Source organism: Homo sapiens, chromosome 19, assembly GCF_000001405.40.
Source record: "Homo sapiens chromosome 19, GRCh38.p14 Primary Assembly".
NCBI lineage: Eukaryota > Metazoa > Chordata > Mammalia > Primates > Hominidae > Homo > Homo sapiens.
In genome coordinates this window covers 34,576,107-34,588,563 of record NC_000019.10, presented here as the reverse complement: position 1 = coordinate 34,588,563, position 12,457 = coordinate 34,576,107, and the positions used below count along the sequence as shown (strand labels likewise).

At 47.9% G+C, this 12,457-nt stretch overlaps 1 protein-coding gene and 2 pseudogenes across 17 annotated transcripts in view; all 3 read left to right on the top strand.

Annotated features, from left to right (window-relative positions):
- Positions 1-3,035, top strand: part of SCGB2B2 (secretoglobin family 2B member 2) — a 91,631-nt gene extending 88,596 nt beyond the window's left edge. Inside the window, exon 4 of the transcript NR_170948.1 lies at positions 37-3,035. The gene's annotated coding sequence lies outside the window, so the exon portion shown is untranslated. The remainder of the gene's footprint in view (positions 1-36) is intronic.
- The window catches only part of SCGB1B2P (secretoglobin family 1B member 2, pseudogene), a 100,431-nt pseudogene extending 88,596 nt beyond the window's left edge, over positions 1-11,835 (top strand). For 4 of the 14 annotated variants that reach the window (NR_170961.1, NR_170967.1, NR_170962.1 and 1 more), the window contains 3 exons: positions 10,832-11,021; positions 11,108-11,298; positions 11,624-11,835. The product of NR_170961.1 is annotated as a secretoglobin family 1B member 2, pseudogene, transcript variant 6 (transcript). Of the gene's footprint in view, positions 1-36; positions 1,923-10,831; positions 11,022-11,107; positions 11,299-11,532 lie in introns of all 14 variants that reach the window. The other 10 variants (NR_027620.4, NR_170966.1, NR_170968.1 and 7 more) reach the window with 9 other exon arrangements.
- The window catches only part of ZNF807P (zinc finger protein 807, pseudogene), a 135,468-nt pseudogene that overhangs the window by 88,596 nt on the left and 34,415 nt on the right, over positions 1-12,457 (top strand). The gene's annotated exons all lie outside the window — the stretch shown is intronic.

The window sequence follows — 12,457 nt, the reverse complement described above, 5'->3', positions numbered from 1 at the left end:
TTTACCTTTCTGTTTTAATTCCAAAAACCTATGCAGGTTAGGGATCTTCAAGCCGAGTCAATAGCAATAAGAAGCATTTCCTGGTGCCACTCGGCCAAGCCTCCCGCCCACCTGGCCCGGCCTGACTCACACTGGTATGCGGACCTGTGGCCTGGGTGACGGCCACATCACTGAGGAAGGAAGTGGGCCTCAGCTAGGGGTGAATTTTCATGATTAGATTTTCTCTCATTAGAGGCTGTCATGAACAACAATACAACCACCAATTTGAAAACCTAGCAGAAATGTATAAATTCCTGGAAAAATACAACCTTCCAAGATTGAACTGAAAAGAAATCAAACTTTTGAACAGACCAATTACAAGTGACAAATTGAATCTGTAATAAAATGTCTCCTATCAAAGAAAATTCCAGACTCCAATGGCTTCACTGCAGAATTCCGCCAAATATTTAGGAGGAATTAATAGCAATTCTTCTCAAACTCTTCCAGAAAATTGAAGAGTATAGAATTCTTCCAAATTCAGTTTACAAGGCCACCATTATCCGGATATCAAACTCAGGGAAGGACACAACAACAAAGAAAACTATAGGCCAATATCACTGATAAACGTGGATGCAAACATCCTCCCCAAAATACTGGCCAAACAAATGAAGCAGCACATCAAAGTGATCATTCCTATGCCAAGTGGAATTCAACCCAGGGATGCAAGGATGGTTCCTGACACACAGATCCACAAATAAGACACATCACATCAACAGAATGAGTACAAGAACCATATGAACATCTCGATAGGTGCAGAAAAAGCACGATAAAATTCAACAGTCCTTCATGGTAAAAACTCTTAACAAACTGAGTATAGAAGGAATGTAGCCCAACACAATAAATCGATGTATGGCAAGCCCACAGCCTATTCACATCATAGTGAATAGGGAAAAGTACAAAGCTGTTCCTCCAAGATCTGGAACAAGGCAAGAATGTCCATTTTTGCCACTTTTATTCAATGTAGTAATGAAAGTCCTAGCCAGAGCAATTAGGCAAGAAAAAGAAACAAAGGGCATCCAGACTGGAAAGGAGGATGTCAAATTGTCTCTGCTTGCAGAGGACATGATCTTATGAACAGAAAACCCCAAAAGCACCACCAAAAAACTCTCAGAACTGATCAATAAATTCATTAAAGGTGCAGGATATAAAATCAACATACTAAAATCAGTACCATTCCTGAACATCAACAATAAACTAGAAAAGAAAGAAATCAAGAAAGTGTAATGACACTTGATACCTTTAAAAATGTAAGATCATAATTAGAATTTGTAAATGATCAAATTATTAAAAGATGCGAGACTCAAAAAAACTACATATTGCCGGGTGTGGTGGCTCACACCTGTAATCCCAACACTTTGGGAGGCCGAGGCAGGTGGATCATCTGAGGTCACGAGTTCCAGACCAGCCTGACCAACATGGAGAACCCCATCTCGACTAAAAATACAAAAAATTAGCCAGACATGGTAGCACATGCCTGTAATCCCAGCTACTCGGGAGGCTGAGACAGGAGAATCGCTTGAACCTGGGAGGCAGAGATTGCGGTGAGCCGAGAGCACGTCATTGCACTCCAGGCTGGGCAACAAGAGTGAAACTCCGTCTCAAAGAACAACAACAACAACAACAACAAAGCTACATATTGCGTGACTTCATGATAAGCAGTTCTAGAAAACGCAATGGTATCAGAATAAAGAATGAACCAGTGGCTGCTCAGAATTGAGGACAAGGAGAATATTTCACTACAAAAGCACAGCACAAGGAATATTTGAAAGTAAGAAAATGGCATCTCTATTGTGGTGGTAGTGCTTGAGATTCCAGACATCAATACAAAACCTGCAGAAGGCACAGCTGTCAAAACTCATGGAAATAAACGTACATCAAAAATAGTGAGTATCACCGTATGTAGTTTTTTAAATTTAACATTCAAAAAAGGTATAAACTATTCATACACATGACACAGATGAACCAGAAGGACAACACTCTCTGAAGAAATAATAACATTCCATACTGTATGATTGAATTTACATGAAGCAAATTAATCTATACTGACATAAAGCTGATCAGCGGTTGCCTAGAGAGGAGGAAGGGATTAAGGAGATGCAGGAGAGGGTGTTACACAGAGGAACAAGGAGGCATTTGGAAGTGAGGGATGTGTTCATTATTTTGATCATTATGGTGGTTCTGATTTTTGCAACTGTCAAAAGTCACAAATTATGTACTTCAGATATACATATTTGTTATATGTCAATTATACTTTATTAAAAGATATTAAAACAAAATAATTTAATTTAATAAACATACAAGATTTTAAAGTACAATTAGAATCAACTTAATAGATTAATGAAGAGAAGAACATTAAAAAGAGACATTTACTTTATAATTAAAATGATAATAGCCCTTCCCCAAAACTCAACTGTGTTTATAAAGCTAATGAGAGACCATCAAGCTAGGAGGATAGTGCCTGATGGTCCCTCTTAATTTGGCCAAGGTATAGACATAAACAAAAATTATAAACTATACACTTTAGGTATATGTAATTGTTATATGTCAACTATACTTCAATAAAGCTATTAAAACAAAATAACAACTTTAATAAACATATGAAATAATTGCCACCAATTATTCTGGATTTCACAGATATGCAACTTCCCCAGTTACTTCTGCAGATACCATCACTATGGTAGAACCTGAGATTGGCTTTTGGAGATGTCTTTTCAGGTTTTCTTTGTGTGTCTAACACTGATGGCTCCACCTGGATCCATTAGCCACTCCTGTGGCCCCATCCAGAAGTGACTCCATGCAAAAAGACAGCTTTGACTCCCTATTCTTTCGTCTTCAACCCAAGCCCTCACCACTCCATATAACCAAGTCCCCTGCCCACCAAGCATCTTTGAAAATCCCATAGCTTCTGAGCCTTCAATGAGATCATTTTGATGATAACTCTGTCTCCTACATGGCATGGCCAGCCTCCCATCAATTAAACTCTTTCTTTACTGCAATGTTATGGTCTCTGTGAATTGATTTTGTTTGTGGAGCAGGCGGGAAGAACCCGTCGGGCGCTTACACCACTCCAATCTTATACAAATTCTTCCAAAGCATAAATAATGAGGGTGCATTCCCTGTACCACTCAATGTCCCTGCAGGAAGGAAATGGCACACTCACACAGGATACATGACAAGAGTTTAATGAATGACTATAAACAAAAAATAAAATTCTAAGGCCCGCAACTATCTGAATGGAACCCTTCTCTTGACCAAGGGCATTCAAAGTTAACCTAAAAAACTAGTTCAGGTCATAATGGAAGGAGGGGTCAGATATGCCTCATTATACCTATCTCTCTTTTGGAATTCAGGAAAAGCTGACCAGGATTTAACATCAACACAGACCTTAAGTCTGATAAGAAATATTTACAATCTATTCTCTCTGAAGCCTGCTACCTGGAGGCTTCATCTGCATGATAAAAACCTTGGTCTCCACAATCCCTTATCACAACCCAGACATTCTTTTCTATTGGTTCACTCTTTGAACCAACTGCCAATCAGAAAATTTTTAAATCTACCTACTACCTGGAAGCCCCCCCATCCCCACTTCAAGTTGTTCTGCTCTTCCAGATCGAAGCAATGTAAATCTTACATGCATTGATTGATGTATTATGTCTCCCTAAAATGTATGGAAGCAAGCTGTATCCTGACCACCTTGGGCACATGTCCTCAGGACCTCCTGAAGCTGTGTCATAGACACATCCCTAGCCTTGGCAAAATAAACTTTCAAATTGATTGAGACCTGTCTCAGACACCCCTGGGTTCACAGGCTTATGGCTCTGCTGTGAGCAAAGTAAAGGGAAACCAATAACAAAATGCCCAAGGCAAGCAAGAGCAAAATATCTAATGGGAGGCAAGGAAAAGAAGCTTTGCTACAATCCAGTGAGACCTGTAACTGTAGGAGAGAGCGAGCTCCCAGGACCTTCGGCCACCAGGATAGGAACGCAGCCATGGCCAACCTGTAGTCCTGAAGGAGGGCAACTGGGAGTGAGTCCCCTCATCTCACTCTCCTCTTTCCTTCAGTGCCCTGCTATATCTCCAATGTGTTGACCCACAAAAACCAAAGGGCAATGTAGCCCAATGATGCAGTCCACAAAAGGCCATGTTCTGGGGTACAAAGCAGACTGGGGAAAGAAGAAGACTAGATCTGTTGGAATAAATAGAAATTACCACTACATCCCCAATTCATAATGAGCTGGTATCATCCTGACACCAAAATTTAACCACTCAAGGACATAGACAAAATGTACCATGCAAGGTATTGGCAAAGTGGAATAAATTACATTTAAGAATAGTGTATGCTGATAAAGGAGGATTTACACCAGAAATGCAAGGTAGCTTTCAAATTAGAAAATTATTTGATGTAACACTTTCACAGAACTAAGGGGAAAAAAACTGTACACACAGTTCATTAAATGCAAGTGAGATGTGCTATAACATTCATCTTTTCTCGATTTAAAAAATTATCTGACGCAGGATGCAGTGGCTCATACCTGTCATTGCAGCATGTTAGGAGGCCAAGGTGGGCAGATCACTTGAGCCAGTAGTTTGAGACCACATTGGGCAACAGGGTAAAACTCTGTCTCTAAAAAAATTACAAAAATTAGCCAGGTGTGGTGGCACCCACCTGTAGTCCCAGCTACTTGGGAGGCTGAGGTGGGAGGAGTCCAGGAAGTTGAGGCTGCAGTGAGCCAAGACCACACCACTGCACTCCAACCCAGGTGACAAAGCAAGACCCTGTCTCAAAAAAGATTTAAAAATCCCCTTAAAAAATAGAAATAGAATGATATATCTTTAATCTAGCAAAGAACATCTACCAAAAATATCTTACGTTAAACTTCCTATTTAATGATAAAATATCAAAAGCTATCCTCTTGAATCTGGATGAAGGGTATCCAGAAATATTTATATATAATGTTGTGTAACTTTCTTATAAGCCTAAAATTACGTGAAATTTAACAATTTATATAAAATACAATGCTGTCAAGAGCAAAACAAACAAAAAAGTTCCTCTTGAGTTTAGATACTAAACAAAAAGCCTGTTTTCACCATTGCTATCCAACATTGCACTAGAGATTCTACAAATGCAATAAAGCAAGACAAGTAAAATATATGAATATTGAAGAGGAAGAAACAAATACACGTTGATATATTTATATAAATAATCTTAAAGAATCTACAGAGAAAATACTAAAGAGTCTTCGAATCCTAAATACAAAATAATATAGAATAATTAAAATTTTCTATATAGCAACACAAACATTTATAAACCTACACTTTAAAAGAATGTAACATTTACAATGGCATTAAAAAGAACAGATGCCTTGGAATCAATCAATTAATACATGTATAAGAGCACCATAGAAATATATATGTAAAAAATTATTGAGAGAAAATAGGGAGAATCAAAATAAACGGCAACATATCCCAGCATTATGGAGAGGAATACTCGATGTCATCAAAACTTCAGTTCTCTCCCACATTGAATTCAAATAGCTGTTTCTAAACGTCTGGCACCGCAGAGGGTCAAAAACAGCAAAGACACTCCAGGAACAAGGCCAAAGCGGAAGGACCCCCTCTGCCAGAGTCAAGAACTAAAGCTTTAGTGTGTACTCAACATAGTGCCACATTGGCATACAGACAAACAGACCAGCGACATGAAATAGAGAACTCAGAAGCAAACTATGTCCCTCTATGGGGCACTTGCTTTTTGACAAAGGGACATTGAGAATAATGGAATAAGGGCCATCTTCTCCAAAACCAAATTTGTCCAATCTGCAGCCCGCAGGATGCTTGCGGCCCAGGGTGGCTTTCAATGCGGCCCAACACAAATTTGTAAACTTTCTTAAAACATTATGAGATTTTTGCGATTTTAAGTTTTTTTAGTTCATTAGGTATTGTTAGTGTTAGTGTATTTTATGTGTGACCCAAAACAATCCTTCTTCCAGTGTGGCCCAGGGAAGCCAAAACATTACACACTCCTGTCCTAAACAGTACTGGGACAGCAGGGAATCTATATAATTTAAAAGTAAGAGGACTGTTACCCACATTTCACACAAAAGTCAATTCCATGTACCTTAGAGACCTCAATGGACAAGGCAAAAGAATAAAGACTTCACAAGTATTTATGTAGAAGAATATCTTTATGACCATGAGATGAGAATCTTTTTTCCAAAGCAATAAAACCACATTAAGAAATAAAAATAAAAAGATAAGACTATTTATTAAGCAAAACACACACACACAACATCAAGCAGAAAGGAAGCGTTGATAAATTTCATTACAGTAAGCCTTATACTTCTGTTCAATAAAAACCGTCAAGGGAATACAAAGCTAATAATCCCCAGTGTTGCAGAAGGCATTTTAAATAAATAACCAAACAAGGGCTCTTATCAAGAAAATACTGGCCGGGAGTGGTGGCTCACGCCTGTAATCCCAGCACTTTGGAAGGCTGAGGCGCGTGGATCACCTGAGGTTAGGAGTTCAACACCACCCTGGCCAACATGGTGAAACCCTACCTCTACTAAAAATACAAAATTTAGCTGGGCCTGGTGGTGGGTGCTTGTAATCCCAGCGACTCGGGAAGCTGAGGCAGGAGAATAGCTTGAACCCAGGAGGCAGAAGTTGCAGTGAGCCGAGATCACGCCATTCCACTCCGGCCTGGGCAACAAGAGTGAAATTCCATCTCAAAAACAAAAAAAGAAGATAGCAAGAACTCCTCACATTGGGAGGTCGAGGCGGGTGAATCACCTGAGCTCAGGAGTTCGAGACCAGCCTGGACAACATGGCGAAACCCCATTTCTACTAAAAATGCAAAAATAAGCCACGTGTGGTGGCATGCGCCTGTAGTACCAGATACTCAGGAGGCTGAGGCAGAAAGATCACTTGAGCTCAGGAGGTTGAGGCTGCAGTGAACTGAGATCATGCCAGTGCTCTCCAGCCTGGGCAGCAGAGAGAAACCCTGTCTCCAAAAAAAAAATATATATATATATACAAAAAACTCCTACAAATGACCAGAGATGGAAAAAAGAAATGAACATGCAATATATAAACGGGAAAAAAGCCCTCTACTCACACTTCACTAAATGACCAATAAACACATAAAGAGGCCTCAACCTCCTTACACCAGAAAATGCAAATGGGAACCCAATGAGATGCCCCTGACACCTGCCTACCAGATGGTTCACTCGACACTGACGATACCAGCCTATGGCGATCTAGAGTGGCAGGAAATACTACAGTGTGGCTGAGCGTGTGCATTGTATAACTGCTTTCAAGGTTTCCTGTTACCTAAGACAGTCAAGAATATGAATGCCTTATCATCTAAAATTCCACACATGGGCACAAACCCATACAAATGTGAATGTAAATGTGTGCCAGGACATCCACACATAAAAGCTCCCTGTAGTGCTGTTCACGATAATAGAATCAGTACACAATGGTCGATGCTTTTAAACCATAAAGAGAGCAATGTGGATTGATACCAACAAAAATCTTGAACAAAAAAGTAAGATATGGGAGAACACACACATGGTGACCACGGTTATAAAAACTGTAAAAGAGTAAAATTAACACTTATTATATGTGAAGATGTTTAGGTAGCAAAACCGTCCACTAAAACAACAAGAAACCACAAACTCAGGACAGGGGTCAACTCTAGGCAGTGAGGCTGGTGCCGGGAGGGGCTCACCATGACCTTTCTTGAACTGCAGGGGTATTGTGAGGTTTGCGTCACAGTCATCACCTAAGATACGTTTATATGGTGTGTCCTAGTCTGTATTTGTGTCATATGTCATAATAGAAAGATGAGAGGTGAGGGGAGGAGGGAAAGGGAGAAATGGAAAGTGAAGAGGAGGACAAATGAATAAGGAAAAAGGGACAGGAAGATGGAGACACAGAGGGGAAAGAGGGACAGAACAGGGCAGGGAGGAAGAGACAGGAGAGGACGCGGGGGGTGTGGGAGAGGATGGGGAGAAGGAGGGAGTGTGAACTGCATCCGTGTAACCTGCCTGCCCCAGCTCCTCCACAGCCGGGTCGTCCTCCCTGCCCACCCCACCCCTCCACCGTGGGTCTCTCTGCTATGAGACCACTCCCCACTCAGAAGGCTGTTGACCTCCAGCCCCTATCCAGAAAGTCTCACTGCCCAAAACCCTGCCCAGAACCCTAAGGTGAAGCCACAGTTGAGGGAGCTCCTCCTCCAGTGTCAACCTGGCTCCCACCTCCCAGTGCGGGAGAAAAGCAAAGCAGGTGAGCTGGGAAGAGTGCAGGATTTGGGGACAGGCCATTCTCCAGGTGCCAGCCTGGCCGGAGGGCCAACGGTGCCTGGCAGGGAACCACAGGGCTCAGTAAGCAGAGGCCACACAGGCCCCAAAGCCAGATTGCAGTGGGAACCAGTGTGGCGAGGTGGGCAGGGGACCTGGCTGAGGTGCCCAGAAATCCCATCAGCACCACTGGGTCCCCTGGAAGACGCCCAAGTTCCCCAAACGACTGGGGATTAGAGACAGGGGATTAGAGTCAGACCTCACCTTGGACAGCAGCCCCAGCCCCATCCTCAGCCCCAGGGACACTAGGGCATCCAGCTGTCCCAAGGAAGTGGGTGGCTCAAGGCTGGGGGCCTGTGCCTTGGCTGAGGGATGCGGCTCAGGTCAGTTTGCTCCATGATTCCCTGGAGCCTACATGACTCCCTGGACCCTGGGCCATGCTCTGCTGCAGCCCAGTGCACCGCACGCTGCTCTGCTGTGGCAGATTGTGTTGTGTCGAGTTGTGCTGTGTTGTATGCTGCATCACTGTTCCTGCAAACTCCCTGTCCAGGAGCTCTAGGGCCCTGGCCTCTAAGAAGCCCCAGTCCCGAGTCAGCCTCAGGCAAGGTCTGCATCTCTGCTGCCTCCACTTCCCTGGCTCAGCCTTGCAGCTCCCACTGCACTCACCTACCACCCATCACCCCCACTTAGAGGCCAGGAAGCGGCAGGAGCCGTCTCCCCCATCCATCCATTCTCTGACCCCTCTGCCCCCTCCCTCCATCCTTCAGGACTGTCTATCTTAACATGGCTCTTGCAAACGCCCGGACCCACCCACTGACCCCAGAGCACCCCCTACCCATGTGTTTGGCCAGGGGACATCCCCACACCGGCCCCATCACGTGCCTGGTGGCCCCGAGGCTGCAGCAGAGGGTGCCTGTCTGGCCCTAGACCTGCCCTGGGGCCTTCTCTCTGCCACCGCTCACAGGACAAACCCAAATAATTGCTGTCCTCCCTCTGAAATGGTGGCCATGGGGGTGCAGGGAAGGCCTCCCATCCCTCCTGTGCCCAGGCCCCTCACCCCCACACTCTGGCTGGCTGCATCTGCTGTCCAGAGCCCTTGGTCACAAGGCATGCAGCCCGGACCACAGTGATGACAAGGGAGGCCCTTCCTAAGCCTAGAGATGCTCTAAACCTTCATGGAACTGCTAGTCCCAGTGCCAGCCAGAGTCCCAGGTGAGGCTGAGGTGGCTCAAAGTGGTGCACGGGAGATGTCTGACATCAACCCTCTCCAGCCTGGTGACTTCCCTGGCCTCCAGCCACCACCCGCCCCACAGTGTCCCCAAAGCTGAAGATACAAGCTTGCCCTGGCACTGGCCCTGGCATAGAAAGTGCATGATCTGATCATGTCATGCAGGTGAGGATACCTGTGTGCCAGGTAACGTCAGGCTGGCATGGTGGCGCTTGTGGGGCAGTCCTGTAACCTGCAGTGTGGTGGGTGGGATGGATGCATGTGACACAGGCAGGAACTTCCCCTCACGGCACTTGAAGACCCACATGTGTATTGGGTGGGGCCCATGGGAGTCACAGGTGTGTGGCTGGGCACAGGCAGGTGACTGAGTGACAGCTACACAAACCCCACCACTGAGCACGTCTCTCCCAGGGCAAAGCAGATCAGACCACAGGCCCAGCCCTGGGAGGCCCAGAGGGGCCTCAGGTCCTCAGGGAGCCTCCTGGCCCTCTCTGCCCTCAGAGGACCCCCTTCCTTCTAAAGACCCCTCCAGCTGGCTCCACCTGCAGCTGTAGGGGTGGGAGGGGGACACAGTGCTCTGGGGTCCAGAGAAGGAAGGAAGATGGAGGGAGGGCGGCCCTCTGCTCCCTGACGCTGCTGCTCAGCCCCCTGCAGCCCTCCCGGAACCCACACCTTTCAGCTGCAGTCTCCCAGCCTCTGTCTCCAGGATGAAGCCTGCTACTTAGCTGGCTTTTCACCTCCAGATGGCATAAAGTGAAGAAGGGTCCCCTGTCCCTGCCCCGCAGGGCCCCCACACAAGACTCTCCCATCACTTCTTGTCTCTCTCAGATGCAGAGGCAGAGGCAGCCACATGCCCTGTCCCAGCCGCAATCACACCCTCATATTCATATAATCACAGACCCCCACCCCACACAGTCAACACCCCAACCTCAGGTGCCACACACACACACCCCACACGCTCCCACCAGCGCATTCCACTCACACACACATATCCCATTCTCAAACGCGTGCACCCAAGCCTCGTGACGCACACACGACGGGGCAGGCCACAGAGCCAGCGGAGTCTCAGCGCGCATGGAAGCCTGAACCGCGCAGGGACGCGCCCAGGACCGCGCCCAGCCAGGGGTCCCCGCCTGCACATCAGCTGCCTGGATCCAGCACCATGGGAGGGGCTGGGGGCGGGGCAGGGGCGGGGACCCGCAGATGCAACCTGCTACGCTGGAGTGCCACAAACCCCACTACCGCCCCTACCCTCCCTGTCCAGCCAAGCCACGCCACCCGGGCCCGCCCCCAGGACACGGAGTTTAAGGACCGCGTCTCCCGAGATGCCAGAGGGACCTGCGTCCGCACTGCCCCAGTGTGACCCGCATACCTACCGGCCCCGACCCCGAACCGCGTGGCGTCCGCCCGAGCCCTGGCGCTGCTGGGTCTCCTGCTGCTGCCGCTGCTCGCAGGTAGGCCCCGCCAGGGAAGCCCGGGCCGCGCTGCAGCCCCGGGGCACCCACCCCTCCCTGATCACACGCTCCTACTCTCCCCGCAGAGCCCAGGAAACTCTGCCCGCAGCTTATGACGGTCATTAACCAGTTTCTGACCAAGGACAAGGACACCTACATGGACACTGTCAACAGATACCACCTCACGGAGCCGGAAAGAAACACATCCTCTAAACTCAAGGACTGCGTGACCGACACAATGACCCCCGAGGAGACAGAGGCCGTCGTGCAGCAACTGGTGAGTGCAGCAGGGCCCGGCCACCAGCGCCACCCCACAGCCCTTGACCTCCTTTGAGAGCAGGGACTCTGTTCCCTGAGAGCCTCTCTCTCCACCCAAATACCTCCCCACCTCTCACCAAGCAACCACCTCTCACACGGGCAGCTGCCCAGGGACAAGACCTCAGGGCGCTGGACCTCCGCGCTCTGATGCTCAGCCTCCGCAATCAACCCCATCCTATCCCTCCTTCCCCAGAAGACCCCTCCCTTCGGCCTCCCACCCCTCCCCACAGGAAGAAATCAACAACCAGTGTGCCGACACGATACTGAAGTAACACCATCCATAGGCACCTCGGGTTCCTGTCCAGGCTGCCTGTCCCAACCATGAGAATCTGGGCCCAGGGCCCCACCCTCCCTAGCTCCCGCCCTGCTGCTGCCTCTACTCTCTCTCCTGCTGTGCTGATTGGGGCAAGCCTGGGAACGGCTGCCCCCCACCTCCCCACCCAGGCCTGTCCCCTGCGGGACAATGCTGCCTAATAAACTCACCTGCATCCATCCAGCTTCTGTGTGTGTTCTTCAGCCAAGGGGGAAGTGGGAGGGACTGACCCCAGAAGGGCGGGTGGAAGGGCAGGCATCTCTCAGAGAGGCATGGGACAACCTGATGGGGTATCCCCACCCCACTGCCCCTTCCCTGCCTCAACCGTCACCCTCCACCTTCAACACTGCCCCTGCCATCTGCAGCTCCACCCCCGACTCCACCCCCACCCCAACTCCAATGTCAACTGCCACACCCACCTGGCCAGAGGGTTCCCTGCTCAAGTCCTCTGGGTTCCCTGCAATCTGCGACCACACCTCCTTCTCCTCAACCTGGAATTCAGCTTCCCCAGCTCTGACCTCAACCTTCCCGTGCTTCCCCCACCAGAATCTCCCTTGCTCCCCATCCCCAGTCATCTGTTCACACCCATTCAGCATTGACCATGCCCCCTCCTCAATCCCATATCAGGGCATCAAAAGCCCCAAGCATCCCTGATCTAGATCCCACATCCAGCTCTACCCCCCAACTCTCCCATCCAGGGCCTACACCACCCAGGAGCCTTTCAAGGGGGGGGTCCTCATCCATTTGTACGCAGCCCCCAGTGGGATGCAGAGACGTGAGGACTCATCCTGGGGCCTCCTTCCCC